We start from the raw sequence: 20146 nt of genomic DNA, 5'->3' as shown, positions 1-20146 counted from the left end.
GGGAACACAGCTCTGCACTTAACACCCTAAATACCTCATACAACATCTCAGATGTTTATATATATATATATATATATATTTTTTTTTTTTTTTTTTTTTTTTTAGACGGAGTCTTGCTCTTTCCCCCAGGCTGGAGTGCAGTGGTGCGATCTCGGCTCACTGCAAGCTCCGCCTCCCGGGTTCACGCCATTCTCCTGCCTCAGCCTCCCAAGTAGCTGGGACTACAGGCACCCGCCACCATGCCCGGCTAATTTTTTTTTTTTTTTTTGTATTTTTAGTAGAGACGGGGTTTCACTGTGTTAGCCAGGATGGTCTTGATCTCCTGACCTCGTGATCTGCCCGCCTCGGCCTCCCAAAGTGCTGAGATTACAGGCTTGAGCCACCATGCCTGGCCGTTTATATTTGTTAAATGTATGTGAATGTTCATTGTGCCAGCATATTTTCACTATAAACATGATTTTAGTTTAATGCAAGGCTTCTTATCTACAGCCCATGGGCTACTTGGGGTAGGAGTCCATAAACATGCTGAAATCATATGCCAAAATTTATTATGTTATACAATATGAACATTTTTCTATCAGACTCTTAAAATGTTTGTCATGCAAAAAAAAATGATCTAACGACTGATGTAAAGGGATTTTGTCTTGTTTATCTCGCAACATCTTTCCAATTAATAACAAACACTCCATGTTTTGTTATTGTATTCAACAAACACATATATAGCATTGTATAACCCTGACAATGTGCCAGACTCTGTTTTAAGTGCTTCCCAAATAGGATCTCATTTAATCCTCATAGGGACACTTGAGGAAGGTAATATTTACAGATGGGGAACTGAGGTACACAAAGGTTAAGAAACTCAGGTCACAGAATTAGCAAATGGCAGAGCCAGGATTCAAAACTAGGTGCCTGGGTTAAGAGCGTTAACCACGACCTTGGACTACTTGTCCTTTCTCATCATAATACACATGAGAATTCCAAGCCATGTTATTTGCACCCACAGAATCAATGATCTTCATTACTGTGTTAGTCTGTTCTTGCATTGCTATTAATATAAAGAAATACCTGAGATTGGGTAATTTATAAAGAAAATAGGTTTAATTGGCTCACAGGTCTGCAGGCTGCACAGGAAGCATGGTGTTGGCATCTGCTTGGCTTCTGGGGAGGCCTTTGGAAACTTATAATCGTGGTGGAAGGTGAAGGGGGAGTAGGCAGGTCATGTGGCCAGAGCAGGAGCAAGAGAGTGGGGAGGTGTCACACACTTTTAAATGACTAGATCTTGCAAGAACTCATTCACTATCCTGAGAACAGCATCAAGAGGATGGTGCTAAACCATTCATGAGATATCTTCCTCCATGATCCAATCATCTCACACCAGGCCCCACCTCCAACACTGGGGATTACATTTCAACATGAGATTTGGGTGGGGAAAAATATCCAAACTATATCAATAACTATTGGCATAACTTACATTTTTTTACCCAAAACTTACAATGAGAAGGAACTTGAAAGTTCTGTGAAAGCCCTTGCTGTGTATGCATCTCACTTTGGTAACTGCTAGTATTAGAGCTCTCTACCTCCACTTAGTCAATAATTTTGTGTTTCTACAATCATGCATTCAAGCAACATCCAAACCTCCTAAATTAAACTCTTATATTTGCCTGGGATATATGGACAATGATAATTGCATGTAAACTCTATAATAATCAGAAATCGCTTTAATAATACAAATAACAATCTTTAAAACTTTATCAAGCTTTCTAGAATGTCATAGTATGTTGACCTAAAAGGAAGAAGAAGAAGCAAAATTAATAAAAGTAGAGAGTTTATTTGGGTCATGCTTGAGGATTGCAAGCATAGATTCAAGTTGCCCTGAATATGTACTCCTATTAGCAGGTGCTACAAGCAGGTTTTTTTTTTTTTTTTTTTTTTTGAGACAGAGTTTCACTCTTCTTGCCTAGGCTGGAGTGCAATGGCGTGATCTCAGCTCACTGCAACCTTGGCCTCCCGGGTTCAAGCGATTCTCCTGCCTCGGCCTCCCAAGTAGCTGGGATTACAGGCATGTACCATCACACCTGGCTAATTTTGTATTTTTAGTAGAGATGGGGTTTCTCTGTGTTGGTCAGGCTGATCTCGAGCTCCTGACCTCAGGTGATCCGCCCGCCTTGGCCTCCCAAAGTGCTGGGATTACGGGTGTCAGCCACTGCGCCCAGCCACAAGTAGGTTTTTAAAGGAAAAGAGAGAGTTCCTAAATTGTTAACCAAAAATCTACATTAAAATAATAAGATATGATTGGCTATACATTGTTCTTTGTGTCACAAATTCCAGAAACATAAAGACTACGAGTGAAACAGCAAGTCAGGAACAAAATGCCTTTAAACAATTGTCCCCAGGCAGGGGTTGGTAGGAGTGGAAGTCCCATACTCATATCTTTCTGGGCCTGATAAATGACTGAAGTCCCATACTTTTGCCTTTCTGGGGCTGATGCATTTTGCATAGCTCACATAGCTCAGACTTCCCTTAGTTATTTTTCTTTTCTCAATCACTTTATGTATACCCAACAGTTTGAAGGCAGGGAAAAAAAGACACTCTCAATACAATTTTTACTTTCTCCTAGGCTTTGAAAGAACAATAGTATTGTCAATGGGCTTCTTTAAATAGAACATTCTATCATTTGCCTCAGGCTGGGGTGGGGACTGGAGTTAGCCAGGCAGCACTTGCTTTTGTGATTCCAGTGGCTGCCTAATCTCTACTTACTTTTACCTTCCAAACCCAGGGAGAACAAGAAGTTCCTCATTCCCTCAGGCAAAAGATGCTTAATTAACAAAACACAACTGACAGGGAAAGTAAATATTAGTGACATCTTTCTGTAATTGGGAAATGTGAGTATGCTCCCAGTTTTCCAGAATTATAGCTGTAACCATGAAGCCTTGTAATTTTGCAACTGGTGTTTGTTCTGATACTTTCTGGGAACTCAATATATGTGTAAGGAAATGGGATACATTTTTAAGGCATTCTTAGTCCTATATGCCTTAGGACTGTGTCAAGGTTCCTTAAGTAGATGAAAATGGGAGCTCCTAGACTGAAGGTTGGCAACAGTGAGGTGAATCATTTAATAAGGGCTTACATATTTAGGCATTTTTTCTGCTGAGCTTCTTGGCATACTTTCTGAGTGACAACTGCAGTGGGAAATTGGAAAATTTTGTGAATAATTATGATTCTCTGAATCCATTGGAGTAAATGCATAACATCCTAATGGGTGAAAGATGGTGTGGTGAGTGAACACCTCATCTATGGAAATTGTCAATCCAATTATTTCAGCTAGCTCACCTATTAAATCAGATCACTGCCCAATCAATTACTAGATGATCAGTAGTAAAGACAGCCTGAAATTCCAGATGCATAATGCTTGGGCCAGTGTCTAAGTCACAAGTGTAATTTCATGAAAAAGGCAAGTGGTTAAACCACAGGACATAAGTGGTTTAATTACTTTCCATGTTTTTATTTTTGGTGTCAAATCAAATGTCTAGACTAGAAATAACTCCCTCCTCTTGTAAGTTTTGTAGACCTAAAAGGAAGAGGCTGAGACACAACAGACAACGTAAAGAGTTTAATTGAGTCAAAGTGAAGACAGCTGCCTGGAAGACTCAACCCCCTAGTAATCTTGGATATGAGCTTCTTTTGGCCTTTATTACAAGCACATTCTTAAAGGCAAAAAAGAGGGAAAGGGAGTGGGCTGATACAAAATTGCTTTGTATAAATCCAGGAATTCTCATGGGTTTATAGAAATGACACTGATTAGTGATTGGCTATACATTGTTAAGCTACAGGATGTGGGTAATCGTGTCCGGTGCAGCATTCTGAGGTGAATCTATGGCTATTTGTGGCACTAGCAAGCAGTTTCAAGAGATGAATACATAGATCAAAGTGGGGAGTCGTGTGTGATTGCTGTCTCATTGTTGTGTCTCTGTAGGCCTGATCAGTTAAAAAGACTTGCATTCCTCAGATAAAAGTTCTTTTCTCATATTCATTTTTTATAAGAATAAGATTCACCCATATATATACAGGTTTAAAAATGCTTCCTCCACAGTTCGTAGAGATAAAGAGATTTACCTAAGATTACCTCTTTCAGGCTCACCAGTTTTCAATACATTCAGCCTCTTCCCAGGTGCATGCTCTGGAGAGGCCAGCTTTGTTTGAGGTGGTAACGATCGCCACCGCTGAGGAAAGGAGCTTTCGGGTAGCTGTCGTGCAGGTAAGACCATTATTACCCAGAGAGAAATCGATTAGGACTCTCACAGGAACTCTTGCACGCTCAGACAAAGACAGTCTGGCAATGAGGATCCCAGACACCATGCAGCTTCTCCCACTGACCCCAGTGAACTCTCCAGGGCAGTTGGGGAGCATCATCCACTCAGTGGCGATCAGGTGGCCCTGAGTCCTGATCCTGGGCTGGTTGCAAATGAAGCCACTTTAAAACCAGAGATGCTGTCTTGGAAGGGCAAGGCTCCTTTAGGTAGAACTGGGCAGATTCACATGTGAGAAAATCTGTACGTGATGTTTAGAGAGTAACCAAGCTATTGTTTTCAAACTGTTGTTTCCAAAGGGCCTTACATTTTTCCTTCTTCCCTTTTAGTGAGACTATGGATGATGTAGATTATATATAACTATGTCATATAATCTATATAACTATAATGATGGATGCACAGTTGTGGATTATTTGAATTTTAGAGCACATGTCCCAGCCCCTCTTGGATCTCTTATTCCTCTGGACTGTCTGCCCTGAAGAGGGATTAATTCCTTAATTTGAGGGACACGCACTCTTAAAATTGCCCCCAAGTCACACTTGCAGACTGGAAATTCCAGCTCCCTCAATATTTCTGACTTCCTGCCTTTCTTCTCCATAAGAGGACAGATCTCTGGATGGCCTGTGGGTTAAAAATCAAATTTTCTATTGCCATAAGAGTGTCATTAAGATTCTTGTGAGGACTTGACATGCCACGCTCTTTTTCCCCCTACCCTATAACAGTGATGCAGCTTGCTTCCCCCAGCAGAGGTGTGTTTCAACCTAATGTGCATGTGGACACTCTGGGGACTCAACCTTCTCCTCTGGGTGAGATATTAAGCAACGTGGCAGTGATAAGGCAATCCAAGCAACTGGGTCTTCAGACAGGGCCACAATTTCCCACCGTCCTTGTATTGGGAAGGGACTGGATGGGGTTGGCAGCTGGTCTAGGGTCTCAGCTGCCACATGGGGCAGGGAATCAAAGATGCACATTTAAAATGCAAGTGCTTGTTCCCAATCTGTTTTACTAATATTGCAGCAAGCTTAACTGCTGGTGCTCGTGGCACGAGAAATTCACTGACGAGATTTGCTCCTCTTATTAAGGCGGTTTTAATTGATAGCACTTGGCAGTGAGATCACGCTTTCCTTCTTTTTCCTGCTTTTCATACCGCTTTTGATTGTAAGAAAGAAAAGCAACATTTTCTCTTATTTTATTTTTTTCCCCTGGGCCAAGTGTATAGCACATTGTGAATGAAAAGGAAGAACCTCTAGGGGTCAGTGCAGCGTAAAAAATGGCCAAAGCTCAGGCCCTGGAGCCGGGTCTTTAAGGTTTCAAGCATAGCTTTGTTCCTATTTCATTCTAATGAGGTAACAGTCCCATTACTTCATGCTGAGCCTGACTCCAGAAACAATCCCCTTGATGGTCATTTTCCTTTAATATAAGTTTAAACATTTGCAATCAAAGGCAGCTCTAATTTGAAATTTAGGATTGGGAATCCTATTTTAAAAAATGATGCTTTTCACATTTTCTGTTTGAACCTAGAAGGTTCTCCCCTCCCACTGTCCTTTCATGGGTTCTTGCCAGGGTGGGCAGGGCCTGCTGTTCTTTTACTTCCCTTTAGCTGCCCCCAACTTCATTTCTTTTAGTGAAACAGCCTTGGTTTGTTTTGTGCGTGTGTGTGTGTGTGTGTGTGTGTGTGTGTGTGTGTGTGTGTGTGTCTGTGTTTCCTTTTCCTTTGGTATGTATATGTCCCTTTGGCCTTTGCCTTTTTTTTTTTTTTTTTTTTAAGACAGAGTCTCAGTCTGTCACCCAGGCTGGAGTGCAATGGCGCAGTCTCTGCTCACTGCAACCTCCACCTCCTGAGTTCAAGTGATTCTCCTGCCTCAGCTTCCTGAGTAGTTGGGATTACAGGCATGTGCCACCACGCCTGGCTAATTTTTGTGTTTTTAGTAGAGACAGGGTTTCACCATGTTGGCCAGGCTGGTCTCAACCTCCCGACCTCAGATGATCTGCCTGCCTCGGCCTCCCAAAGTGCTGGGATTACGGGTGTTAGCTACCATACCCAGCCTGTCTTTTAAATTGGAAACTTCCTAACTTCTTTCGTTATATTATCAAAGAATAGTTAAGTTTAGGGCATGTTGTGGGTAGTGTGGGGTTTTGTGGGAGAGATGATAAAAAAAAACCCCACAGGACATGGGCAACATAGTGAGACTCCGTCTCTACAAATAACTAAAAATTTGCTGGGTGTGGTGGTGGTTGCCTGTGGTCCCAGCTACTCAGGAGGCTGAGGCGGGAGATTGCTTGAGTCTGGGAGGCAGAGGCTGCAGTGAGCTAGGACCACACCACTGCACTCCAGCCTGGGTGACAGAGTGAGACTCTGTCTCAAAACAAAAACAAAAACAAAACCCCAAAAAACACAGGACATACCAAAGTGGTAGGCTGGGATGAAGAATTTTGCTGAGATTCCTGGGCAGACATTGGAGACTATGTCGCCCAGGCTGGAGTGCAATTACTCAGAGGAAAATTGATTAGGACTCTCACTGGAACTCTTGCATTCCCAGACAAAGAGAGTCTGGCAATGAGGATCCCAGACACCATGTAGCTTCTCCCATTGACCCCAGCGAACTCTCCAGGGCAGCTGGGGAGCATCGTCCACTCAGTGGCGATCAGGTGGCTCTGAGTCCTGATGTAGCTAGGCCAGGTGCAAACAAAGCCAGTTTTAAAACCAAAGATACTGTCTTGGAAGGGCAAGTCTCCTTTAGGTAGAACTGGGCCGCTTCACAGTGTGGGTAAGACACTGGGAGTTTCTTGAGGGCATTGACTTCCCTCACTAAGGTCATTTAAACTCCTCCCCTTTGCTCTTCAACTCTCCTCAGTTCTGCCCCCTCGAAATCAATGAGACAGCTCTCCATGAAATCGCAAATGTCTAATTTCCAGCCTCCCTGCTTCAGCCTGTAATTCTGTATCATCTCCTGATGCACCTGCCTCCATTAAACATGTCTTTCTGATGTGTTTTCTTGTCATTCTTTTGCACTGTCACCTCTTGCTGCATCCTTTTTCCTCTGTCAGCCTCCTAAATCTGAGGTGCCACCACTTCCACCTCTCCTGCCGACTAACAACTCTGTGAATCCATCCTGGCATCCTGAATGTGGCCCTAGAGTCCTCCTTGGGGACTCCCTGCAGACACTACCAATTGATCAATGTCAACATGGTAAATGAAACCTCCTTTCCAGCCTCCCTTAATTGTGCTTCTCCTACAATCCTTGATTCCATTTCATTTTGATATCCATCCTTTCCATGGATGACATCATCTCTTCTTGCCATTTCAATTAGTACTCAGGTGCAAAAAACATGCCAATCTCTAGCTTGAGAACAAATCTTTCCCCTGATCTAACACTGACAATTGTTAAGTCAAAGTCACCTCCTTACATATTTTAAGTTCAGCCTAAAGGTTTCTTCCTATATAGTGAACTGTAACCCAACTGGATGTGTAAACAGACTGTAATCTACTCTTGTGCCAATCATAGCGCATCTGCCAATTACAGGAGGCTGACTATTCAAGTGTTCAAATAACGGAAATGCTGAGCCATAATCATTCCAGCTGTTTCTGCACCTCACTTCCGTTTTCTGGACCTCACTCCCTTTTTCTGTTCATAAATCTTATCCTGCCATATGGCAGGCCCAGAGTCACTCTGAACCTATTCTGGTGTGTGTGGCTGCCTGATTCACAAATTGTTCTTTGTTCAATTAAACTCTGTTAAATTTAATTTGTCTTAAGTTTTTCTTCTAACATAGTTCTATAACCAATTGAATTACTCCATCTGGAACTCCTACAAACATTTCCAATTTAGCATGTCCAAAACGAAGCTCATCATACACCCCCAAATCTCAGTGGCCTATATTCTCCACCTTTATTAATGGCATCATTATCTATCCAGTGGCCCAAGCCAGGTGCTTCTCTTCCTCTCTTTCAATTCCTCACATTCCTGATCCATCATGGCTGCTTCCTTTCCCTCAAAATCCAACCATAACAAAGGGCATATATGAAGTGCCAAATGAGTAAAATAGGTAATTATTTGGTGGAGAGGGCTCTAGCTTTTTTTTTTTTTTTCTTGAGACAGAGTCTCACTTTGTCACCCAGGCTAGAGTTTAGTGGCCCAATCTCTGCTCACTGCAACGTCCACCTCCCAGGTTCAAGAGATTCTCCTGTCTCAGTCTCCCAAGTAGCTGGGATTATAAGCATGTGCCACCACACCTCGCTAATTTTTGTATTTTTAGTAGAGATGGAGTTTCACCATGTTGGCCAGGCTAGTCGCAAACTCCTGACATCAAGTGGCCTGCCTGCCTTGGCTTCCCAAAGTGTTGGGATTACAGGCCTGAGCCAATGAACCCAGATGCCTTTTCACAATCTCTATTAAACCACCCTTCCCATCCAGCCATCCTATGTAAACATACATTGTAAGTATAATGATGTAGTTTCTCTGCAAACACAGCTTCTCCATGCCACCTCTCATTTGAGGAAAGCTGTCCTTAAACTTTTGTGTATGAGTTTTGGAGCTTTCTCCATGGGAGAGCTATCTAAAGCATAAATCTAGTCATACCACTTCCCAAATTAACAAATCTTCTCTCTCTCTCTCTCTCTCTCTCTCTGTGTGTGTGTGTGTGTGTGTGTGTGTGTGTGTGTGTGTGTGTGTGTGTGTCTTTGCTTATAACATAAATCCTAAACCTCTTAGCAAGGCTCTATCTGGCTCCACGCTCCCTGTTCAACCATGTTTTCTGCCCATTCCTTTCCCCAGATCCAGCCCCTATGCCTGGCATGTTTCTTACACACTTAATTGACATTTTTCAGGACAATTTCCTTGCAATTCTGTTTGGTGTGCCTTTTCCTACTAATTCTCTATTTGGTCACTGAGCTCTAATGTCATTTCTGGGAAATCTTCCTCAACTCATCCAAGCAGACCAATAAGAATTAGGTGCTTTCTCCACTATGCTCCCCCAGCACAGGATGTATTTCTCAATAGTGTGTATCCTGTAGAGTCCTGATTGTTTGTCTGATGACAGATTCTAAGATCCTAGAGTGTATCCTGTAGAGTCCTGATTGTTTGTCTGACGACAGATTCTAAGCTCCCAGAGTGTATCCTGTAGAGTCCTGATTGTTTGTCTGACGACAGATTCTAAGCTCCCAGAGTGTATCCTGTAGAGTCCTGATTGTTTGTCTGACGACAGATTCTAAGCTCCTAGAGTGTATCCTGTAGAGTCCTGATTGTTTGTCTGACGACAGATTCTAAGCTCCTAGAGTGTATCCTGTAGAGTCCTGATTGTTTGTCTGACAACAGATTCTAAGCTCCTAGAGGGAAAGACTGCTGCTGAGTTTTTGAGTCCATGGGATCTTGCTTCATGTCTAGCACAAGGCAGATATTCTTTCATTGTTTTGTGAATGAAGGAGGCAGTGGATGTGCTAAAAGAGAAAATGAGTGTTACTGATGGCAAAATGTTAGAATTTTGCTTCAGGCCAATCCCTAGTAAGGACATTTAAAATCTAAAAGTGTAGTTCTGTGCTGCGCAAGGCACAAAGGAACCCCTTCCCCACCCTCAGCTGGGATGAGAAAGAGAATAATATGGTGTCTGTGGAAGTTTAGACTCTTTGTACTCTGGTGGGTCTCTCTCTCTCTCTCTCTCTCTGTGTATGTGTAGGGGAGGATGATGGGGTAGGTAATTACCCATGGAATTATCTGTTTATTAGCAAAATAAGCATTCTCCACTGTCAAGGATAATAAGACTTGATTTTCAAGCACTGTTTGAGCCGTTCCTTTGGGCAAAGCACAGAGTAGTGTGAGCAGATGGGGTACAGAGGAATGGGACACAGTTCCATCATTGAGTCCTTTGAAGCTCAGCCAGGGAGATTAGATTTTTGCAAAGATAGGTTTGATAAGGTGGATGGTTGCATTTTATCATCCAGACTGGGACATTTTTGAGCATTTGTAAATGCTATTAAGTACTTCACCAGCAATACAGGTGCAAACCAGGATTGTTCCACACAAACTGGGGACAACTGGTCCCAGTAAGGAAGACTATCAGATGTGTAATGTGAACCATAAATGTTCTAGGTTCAGAGGAAAAGGCAATCACTACAAGACTGGTAGTTCACAGAATCTCTGAAGAGGGATGCCTTGACCTAGGCCTTGAAGAAAGAGGAAGAGTTTCTTTCTTTTTCTTTCTTTCTTTCTTTCTTTCTTTTTTTTTTGAGATGGAGTTTTGCTCTTGTTGCCCAGGCTGGAGTGCAATGGCACAATCTCGGCTCGGCACGATCTTGGCTCACCGCAACCTCCAACTCCCTGGTTCAAGTGATTCTCCTGTCTCAGCCTTCCGAGTAGCTGGGATTACAGGCATGTGCCACCATGCCCGGCTAATTTTGTGTTTTTAGTAGAGACGGGGTTTCTCCGTGTTGGTCGAGCTGGTCTCGAACTCCTGACCTCAGGTGATCTGCCTGCCTCAGCCTCTGAAAGTGCTAGGATTACAGGTGAGAGCCACCGCACCCGGCCAGAAAGAGGAAGATTTTTTTAGTGAGAGGAGGTGGGAGAAAATGTTAAAGTATGGAAAAGTGAGTGACATAAATTCACTGGGGGAAATAAGATGGTCTGTATGAATAACAGAGAGCAGGCCCATTTATTTGGAGCAGAGAATTCATAGAAGGTGGTGATGAGGCGGGTAGAAGAGGGACTGTAGAAGTTAGGAGGGTAGCTGAATGCCAAGTGGGAGCTGGAGAGAAATTTGTCAAACTGGAACATTTGGATTTTTTATTCAAGGCAATGAGGGACTGATATGGTTAGGCTTTTGGTCCCCACCCAAATCTCATCTTGAATTGTAGTTCCCATAATTCCCGTGTGTCATGGGAGGGACCAGGTGGAGATAATTGAATCGCGGCGGTGGTTTCCCTCATCCTGTTCTCATGACAGTGAATAAGTCTCATGAGATCTGATGGTTTTATAAAGGGCAGTTCCCCTGCACATACTCTCTTGCTTGCTGCCATGTAAGAGTAAGACGTGCCTTTGCTCCTTCTTCACCTTTCACCATGATTGTGAGACCTCCTCAGCCACATGGAACTGTGAGTCCATCAAACCTCTTCTTCTCTATAAATTACCCAGTCTCAAGTATGTCTTTATTAGCAGTGTGACAACAGACTAATACAGGGACCAATGACAGTTTTGACTGTAGTGATTTGCTCAAAACCAAAGAAATTATGCGTGTGTGTGTGCGTGTATATTTATTTATTTATCTTCTATTTATTTTTTGAGACAGGGTCTCTCTTGCCCAGGATGAGGTGCAGTGCTGCAATCATGGCTCACTGCAGCCTCTACCTCCTTGCCTTCAGCAATCCTCTCACCTCAACCTCCCAAGCAGCTGGGACTACAGGTGCATGCCAGCAAGTCAGGCTATTTTTTTTTATTTATATACATGGGGTCTTGCTATTTTGCCCAGGCTGGTCTCGAACTCCTGGGCTCAAGGGATCCTCCCACTTCAGTTTCCTAAAGTGCTGGGATTACAGGCATGAACAACCACCCCCAGCCTATATATTTTTAAGTTAAGGTTAACCTTGCAATATTTTCAGGATGTAGCAGGGAAAAGCTAGAAGTGCAACAGGAGATTGTAGCTATCTAGCCATAAGGTCATAGAATCTTCAGTGGGGTAGCGGCAGAGGAAATGGAAAAAAAAAAAAGATGTTTGCAAGATAATTTATGAAGGTGGGAAAAAAACCCAAATGTAATCTGGAGACTGTTTGCATCTGGGAGGTGAGCAACAGGGAAAGGAAGAATCCAGAAACACCTGAGGTTTGATACTGTGTGATTGGGAGGTGTGGCCCTACCATTAACAGAGAGTAAAAATGTAGGTAAAAATGTTTTATGAGAAGATACTTAAGCTGAAAAGATTTTTTAAATTTTGTTTTTTGACTTTGATGTTAAAAGTAATACACACTGATTTTAGGAAACTTAGTGCAGAAATTATGGATGAGAATTTTAGCATCTGATGATTTTGATATGTCTTATTCCTGGGATATTCCTAATGTCTAACTAATTCTGAAGGAATAGATGTAAAAAGCAGGTGGAGTGAAGTGAGGCCTGATTTCCATGTAAGTTTTAAGAATGGGTTGCCTTCTGTGTTGGGGAAGATATTTAACTTATAAAGTATGTTTATTTAAAATGTATTGGTCCCTTACTTTGTACCAGACATTGCGGAGGAAAAAGATTTTTAAAGTGGCATGGAAAAATCCAGAGGTGAAAACCTGTGGGACAAGTTTGGTATGAATGATGATAAGGAGTTCCGATACCCAAATGAAAAGCCCAATTGAAACATAGAAAACATGAACTCCCATGGTGGGAATAATTAACACAGTGAAGATGCTGACAGGTTCCTTGTATGTTTGAGGTTTAGACGATTGAAGATTCTCTGGGGTTTATTCTCTATGGAGCCTGGGTTTTTCCAGTCTTAACCAAACTATTTAGTTTCTTCCAGCCTTCTTCTGTTTCCTTTGTTCTTGATGTGTGTTCATTCATCAGAATTGTTGCTGCCTTATCAGCAAGAAAATTTACGTTGCATATTGGTAAGTCATGACAATGTTCCAGATGGTGCACAGGACTGATGGGACTTTCTTTATCAAGCCACATTAGCTTGCTCACAATAGTAGTCTAAATACTACTTGTCTGGCTCTTTCCTGTCCTGCAATTTTAGGATCTTCTAAAAGCCAGTTATTTCTAGCGATCTTCAGAGAGTATCTCATGCTGCTTATGAATATAATCCTGTCAGCCACCACAAGATGTTTCCATTTTCCTTCTCTTCGACAACATATCCTGACCTGTTCTGCCAAGGTCACTGGTGATGTGGTTCCCTGCAATGAATGGTGCCTTGTTTTTGGTTCTGGTGCTGCTGCTTGCTAAGCAGCTCTTGGTTACCAATATTTGCTCTTGGCCCCTGAAGTTGTGCTGTGCCATCCTTAAAGGGTCCTGTAGTTATTGCCCTGTGCTAAAACACTGACACTGTTGAGGCTATTTCATGTCCAGTGCCCTTGATGTGATGGTGCCATGCTGTGCTGACAGAGGAAGTGAGGGGACATCATTCCCCTAGCTTTGTGTCACACCCTCTTGGTTCCAGGGCAGTGCTACCTTCTGCTTCCATGATAACCCTGAAAATAAATCGGTTTTTATGAGCAGCTCTCAGCTTTCTAAAATTCTAGCAGAAGACCAGAGCTTCTTGGGCCAGAGGACAGTCTGAGTGAAGGATACGTGCTGTGCCCAAAATGATCCCTTGGCGTCTAGAACATTGTCATGTGACCAAGTGGATGGGCATAATGGCTTCCGCTTGAGCTCTTACCCAAGGCCTCTCCATTTCTCTGGTCTCTCATATCTCATACCTCTGCAGAGCCTACTCAACTAACTGAAAGACATACCCAGATGTGTCTTTTTCCTAGCATAACATGGTCAGTCAGGACGGAATCCGTACTCCTCTGGTAGTTCAGTAACGATGTTCCTCTAGTTGCAGGCAAATTTCTGTTGTGGAAACCAGAACAGCAAGCTTGAAGTGCTAATCCCATCTTTCCACTAGAGGGCAGATATGGCATATCTATTGAAACACACACAGGTTATGTTTTACAATAAAAACCACATTAGTAAAAAATGTCACCTAAAAATTATGTTCCTGTATCCTTCTCTGCATATCTTTAATATTTATGAGCATCTACAGTATATTAGTACATATAATATTGATATCTATCCTAAGTGAATGTGTATTCTTATAGTGGTTTTGTGCACACAGAAAGGGTATTTAGCAATAGAAATTGTTTTGTATACGCTGGTTTTCCTTTGAAGCATAAAATAGTCATCATACAAAAAAGAGATTTTAAGAAGAAATAAATGTAGAATTAATTGGCATGGCATGCCATTTGCAAGAATTTTTGCTCTTATATCCTACTTTTGCCTGATATATCTTTGAAAAAACAATTCTGATATACTGATTTTTTTTCAGCTTGTAGAATAGCGATCTGCAATTTCTAAGTGGCAATATTTTGATTTTGAATATTTTTTCTGCAATTTACTTCTACTGATTGGAAGTTAAATCCTTTTGAGTGTCATGATTGATTTGTGGTTTTAAGGAGTTCTCTAAACCATGTAGAAATGGGAGCCTTACAATGGCAATATGAGGTGTGTCTTCTTATGGATTACTCTGACTGTTGAGAAAACCAAGGTACAGAAATTATTCTGAGGCCCAGAGAGGGTGAAGTTCTTTATGTGCCTGTTTTGGGGCCATGGCTTTTAAAAAGTTGGTGCAATGGCTTATCCACAATTTTTCAGTTAAAGATGTGTTTCTAAAAATATAGAACTATAATCTCATAGTTAGTTTCAAAGTTGATACAGTGCTTAGAGCCTAGAGGTATTCTGGGGCTTAGGTACTCCTTTTGCCTTAGTTCAAAGGAAAAACTTAGCATATCCAGCACCTCTCTATTGTTCCAGAGACATCTCAAGAGAGGAAGAAGCCAGAGTAAAAGGCATTGCATTAATTTTTTTTTGAAAGAGTGAGCATAGGAGGCTCAGAGGAATGATATTGTGGGAGATCAAAGCTAAACCTTTGACCGTTCCCCAGTTACCCTGCTTTTTCACTGTTGTTGTGAAATAGGAAGACTCTGCTGGAAATGTTATGGTAGCCGACTCCCTGTACTAAACAGAGCGCCCCCTCCTACAGAAGAGAGGATGGGGATGGGAATGCGACATGAGAAAACAGGAGGAAACAGAAAACATTGTCTCAACGAGTCCCCCTTTTTTTCTGCCTGTTTCATCACTGATATGGTTTGGAAACCTCAAATATATTTTGCCTGGATATTCAAGTTGCTGATAAACTGCAGAGTACAACACATGCTTCTTGCCATTTATTTCGTCAGCTTAGCTTAGATCCTTGCTGCTTAAAGCGTGGTAAATGGACCAGCTGCATTGGCATCAGCACCCAGGAACTTGTTAGAAATGCAGAACCTTGTGCCTCACCCCAGACCGCCTGAATTAGAATCTGCATTTTAACAAAATCCAGGTGCTTTATGTATGAGTTAAATTTTGAAAAGTGCTGGCTTAGATAACACTTTCTGTTTTGTTTTTTACCTAAGGTTTCCTGGAGCAGAGACTGCCCCTCCTATTCTGACTATTTTCTGGGATACTGGTCTATTTGGTGCAAGTGATTCAGAACTAGAGCAACTGATCTCATGCACCTAATGACTAGACTGCACAGAAAGATGAAGTCTTCCAGCATACTCTTCAATATTACTTATTTATTTAACATAAATAGAAGGTGCAGTTTGTCGTTCATTAAGCAAACCTGACAAAACTCCAACTTACAAGACATACAATAGGGAAATGATTATTCACATTATAAGAGTCTCTGCTTTACAGAGACATTTTCCAAACTATTTTTTTAAATTGCCTTGAGGTACATTTGAAATAGAATTTGACTCAAATATTACTTCACAGTCCAGTTTTTAAGATGGCACATAACACATAAATTGAGACATGATTGTACAGATAGTAGTTTTGTGCACATTCATTATTAATAAATTTCTGAAAGAGCTCTTAACCAGTCTTCTCATTTCTTTTTCCCATTTCATCCTAATTTCTCTAAGTCTACATTCTGGTATCACTTCTTTTTATTCATCTACCAACCTATGTAACTCTATTGCTTCACATCCTTATGAAGCCAAAGACCTCACTGACATTGAATTAGCAGAGGAGACGCCTAAAGATGAATTCAAGAAAAATAACCCTTCAGCCTGATGAATAGTAATAGTGGTATTAACACTTGATTTAAGCTTGTAAAGTCCTCTCTGGCAGTAAAGCCCTGCCTAGGAAAGCAGATAGATTCCAGCAGAACACTGAGCAACAGCACAAAAATATTTCTTGGGCCCCAAAATATTATCTATAACTGGTAAACCACATTGAAATAGTCACTCTGACCACCAGCTCCTGTAGATTCGCATGGGTCTTGTTCATATCTCTAATATGGTATGTATATTTCTATAGTGCAATCTGTGTTTTTGACCATTTCTTCTAGGGTATTTGGAGGTCAAGGACTTTGTTTTTCTCATTGTTTTGCATCCAGTGTCTAGCATGTAATAGTATTTCACACAAGCTTGTTGGATGAAAGTCTTTGCAATCTATTGCACAATTACTGATACTTTTAGAGAGGAGCAAGAATTTGACCTCTGAGCAAAGCAGCTACAAAAACCTGGTGAAACACTGATCTGTTATCTCTTCCCACAGAGGCAGGAGTAATGCAGTTCATCTAAAATATCAGATCATAAAAATTAGTATTTGGCTTAGAAATTGTGACTATATTTGAATGTTAATAACTATGAAACACTAAAGAGGGAGAAGAAAACGATGCCTGCTTCACTGAAAAGCTTTACTAACCAGTTACATCTCAGACTTGTTTATCTCAGAGGCTGGCTATGCTTATGCATGGAGTCACTTCTCAAGTCAATACAAAGAACTCAGCTCTGCTGGAAACCTTGCTTGTTCACATAGGCAGATAAGGTTCTTAAAAATAGGCCTTCTTTTCTAGGCTTTGCTTAGAAAGAATCACATCTTTGTCATCTAAGTACTGAACTAAATGCAATGAGTTCTCCCAGACAGATTAAAAATCCTGCCAAGGTAACGTACTAGGAGGTGGGTGATTTTCTGGAGTAACATTCTTTTTGCAGTTGGAACAGTTCCCTCCTGGTGCTAGAATCCTAAATGCTATAGTCATTTGGGTCCCCTGTGTTCAGATATCTGTCCCCAATGCAATCTGGAGGTAGCTGTTACTTCAGAAATTTGTGAGGATATATTAGTTCGTAATGATTGAACTCATACTTCGGAATGAAAGTCACACAAGTTTTCTATACACTTAAATATACACAACAAATCAAAAGTGCGGTTCTGGTAGAAAGTTTCTCAGTAAGAAAATGATGAGAGAATGTAAAGAGAAGAGGCCCTGTTCTTGTCTACTCTGGGCATCTCTTTTTCCACTATATAAAATGTGATTATTCTCTGAAGAATTTCTTATGCTTTTTTCCCCCATACTCGTGTATCCAGAGATTTCATTTGCTTCCATCATGAAACCCAGTGGTAGAAAAACAAAAGATTTTGTTTTTAAGAAGAAGCAAGATATTCTTTCACTTATACTGTTTGCCTAATGAAGCTTATTATCTCCAGAAGGCTCTGAAAACTGTTGTTATTATTATCCCAAGAATGGGATGCCAGCTGTTTGTTCTGACAGCTCTTTGATCCTCAATCCAATTGCTTTCAGGGCTTTGGCCATCTTCCCTTGTATTTTCCATGATCTACTCTTAACTGTCATTACTATTGACAGCAAAAGTCACTTTCTGATCAGCGTTAGAACTAAAAATGGATCCTCTGTTAGATAGACATATGGGCACCAGGTGCTTTACATGCACCACTAGTAAATACATCTCTCCCCCATTGCAACAGTCAAGTAGTGCTTCTCTTTAAAAAATTCCACACCCTATATCTCATGGGGTTTCAAAAATACAGTTGGTGGCAAGAATAATTTCGAAGGGCAGATTCAGAATAAGATAAAATATTATGAGGTTAAATCTTTGAGGATAATTGAGCTGGCATAGGCAATGGTCCAGGGGCATCGATTTCTCATGAAAGGGATAGAATAGAAAGTTAAGGCTGTCTCATTAGTGATTCTTGGAATTACATGACAAGCAATCCTTCTTCTTCCACCTTGGGAAATAGCTTACACTTGGAGATGTGAAACTTGTATGGTACATTAACTTTACTCAAGTTTTTAAATTTTTTTTTTAATTAATTTTTTTTTTTTTAAGAGATGGGATTTTGCTACATTGCTCATGCTGGTCTCAAACTCTTGGGCTTACATAGTCCTCCTGCCTCAGCCTCCCAGGCAGCTGGGGTTACAGATGTGTGCCCAACTTAAAAAAAAAATTTATGAACTTATAGCCACATTTAATTGAGCATTTCAGAAGTGAAACTAAATATACTCCTTACTGATTTCTTGCAATGTCAATCTCCTTTGTGCCTGGGTGACACATGGATAGTATATGAAAATGTGTGTGCTTTAGTTTAACACCTGGAAGGGAAGGAGGAGCTTTTGAGACAGTTGCCTCAGTCCTTGGCATTTTCTCTCTGGGGCTTTACAAGCTGCCTGTTTTCTTGGACACGTGCATAATGTAGTACGTCTAGGGACCTTCTTTTGTGGCTGTTGGAAGTGTGTCCAAAATTGTTATGAAATGTAGCTCAAGCAGTTGACAAGTAATAAAAGCAGTTGATCTCTTATCTTTTATGTGCTGTTTTAATGCTCTAAGCACTCTCTTGAAGGAGATAGGAAGCAAAGCTATTGATTTTTGCTCCATTTGGGGTGGGGTAGGCTTTAGTTGTATTGACAGATGCATGTCGCCAGGGAGTTTGTTGGGAGGAAAAAATACATCTCTTCCCTGGGTCAGACAGGCATTTTCTCCAGAGGGTTCCAACTAAAAGTGAGCATGGAAGGATTTCTCAGGCTTGTGTTTTATACTACAAAGGATTACCACCAGTTAACTGAGAATGCTGGTTGTTATGATTTGTTTTACATTAAAGGATTTAGAGTCTTTGGGATTATTCAGTAACTTAGAGTCATCAATCCAAATTATAAAAAGATTAGAACCTCTTTCCATAGGCTAGAGTAATAGGAGAAAGCTGTCTAATAATGCTCCTTGACATCTACCAGCCAATCTAAAATTATTGGATTAGCATATAATTGTTGGTCTAAATGTTCAGATTGTTTTCAGCCCAGAAGCTGTTTGGAGTGCATGATGTACTTCTCAGACACATTTATAAGAGGAAAAATCAAACTGTAGCATATTGAAGGAAGTATACAGCCAGATTTGACCCAAGAAAAAGCAGAGGGGGAGACAAATTTCAACTTCAGCAACTCAAGTTTTCCCACTGGATGTTAAATTTCCCTTTTCCGTACTCCCCGGCTGAGGCAGGAATGCATAGTTGTTTTCTTTTTAACCTTAATAATAAGATTTGGATACTTGTCATATCCATACAATATACATATTCATTAACAATTTAAATGGCTGCTTATTATTCTATTGTGCATTTTCTCTTCCTTGTCTTAGGTATGCCGTGTTCATGGGCTCTCCATATCTTCCTATCAAAATCAGCTTTAAGAAAATTCTCTGATTAATCTATAATCAGAGCTTGTTAATTCATTCAACAGACAATTGAGCAAAGTATACTGGTGTTGAGGAAGGAATAGAGGCAAAAGAGAAAGGTATTAAGAGGAATGGATAGGAATAAGATAAGATATACCCTCAGTGCTTGAGTTATGTGTTACTTTTCCTAGAAAAATGTAATTTTATTGTCAAATATGGCTCCATGGTCTTGTTTTCTCTTAAAGAAATTTCAGTGTCAGTTATAGGGGAATGGTAGACTTGTGGGAGTAGAGGGGCTTTTCCAATCACATGTTATTTTGCAAGTGAGGCTACTACATGAGAATTAGTAGAATAGATAAATAGCTGCATACTTCTTTGTTAAGAAAGGGGCTCTTTTTTCCAAGTGCCATCCATATATTTTAAAAATTGCAAATAGAATGGAAACTCATTGCAGAAAACTAAAAAAAAAAACACAGATATAAAAGAAAAGCATGAAGATCAGCTCTAATTGCGACATCCAGAGATAAATATTTTAACGTTTTGAGATTGATTATGCCTTTTTACAAAATGAGATTATAGATCTTCTCATTTTTATAAAAAGGCAGAATCTCTGAGACACAGCAATAGCAGTATTAAATGAGAAGATTATAGTGCTAAATGCCCACAT

General features: G+C 40.8%; 4 annotated features.

Moving 5' to 3' along the window:
• Positions 5399-5956: an enhancer, noted in NCBI's record as "NANOG hESC enhancer chr18:51653946-51654503 (GRCh37/hg19 assembly coordinates)". NCBI's record gives its function as "activates a minimal SCP1, AML or CMV promoter by ChIP-STARR-seq in naive H9 embryonic stem cells {active_cell/tissue: H9 hESC(naive)}" and the evidence as "EXISTENCE:reporter gene assay evidence [ECO:0000049][PMID:30033119]".
• Positions 5817-5876: an enhancer, noted in NCBI's record as "active region_13339". NCBI's record gives its function as "activates an Ori minimal core promoter by ATAC-STARR-seq in GM12878 lymphoblastoid cells {active_cell/tissue: GM12878}" and the evidence as "EXISTENCE:reporter gene assay evidence [ECO:0000049][PMID:35858748]".
• Positions 7719-8013: an enhancer, noted in NCBI's record as "tiled region #14779; K562 Activating non-DNase unmatched - State 24:Quies". NCBI's record gives its function as "activates a minimal TATA promoter and a strong SV40 promoter by Sharpr-MPRA in K562 cells {active_cell/tissue: K562}" and the evidence as "EXISTENCE:reporter gene assay evidence [ECO:0000049][PMID:27701403]".
• Positions 9073-9837: an enhancer, noted in NCBI's record as "OCT4-NANOG hESC enhancer chr18:51650065-51650829 (GRCh37/hg19 assembly coordinates)". NCBI's record gives its function as "activates a minimal SCP1, AML or CMV promoter by ChIP-STARR-seq in primed H9 embryonic stem cells {active_cell/tissue: H9 hESC(primed)}" and the evidence as "EXISTENCE:reporter gene assay evidence [ECO:0000049][PMID:30033119]".

Source organism: Homo sapiens, chromosome 18, assembly GCF_000001405.40.
Source record: "Homo sapiens chromosome 18, GRCh38.p14 Primary Assembly".
Lineage (NCBI taxonomy): Eukaryota > Metazoa > Chordata > Mammalia > Primates > Hominidae > Homo > Homo sapiens.
Note: the sequence above shows the minus strand (reverse complement) of the source record. Positions and strands in the feature narration are given on the sequence as shown.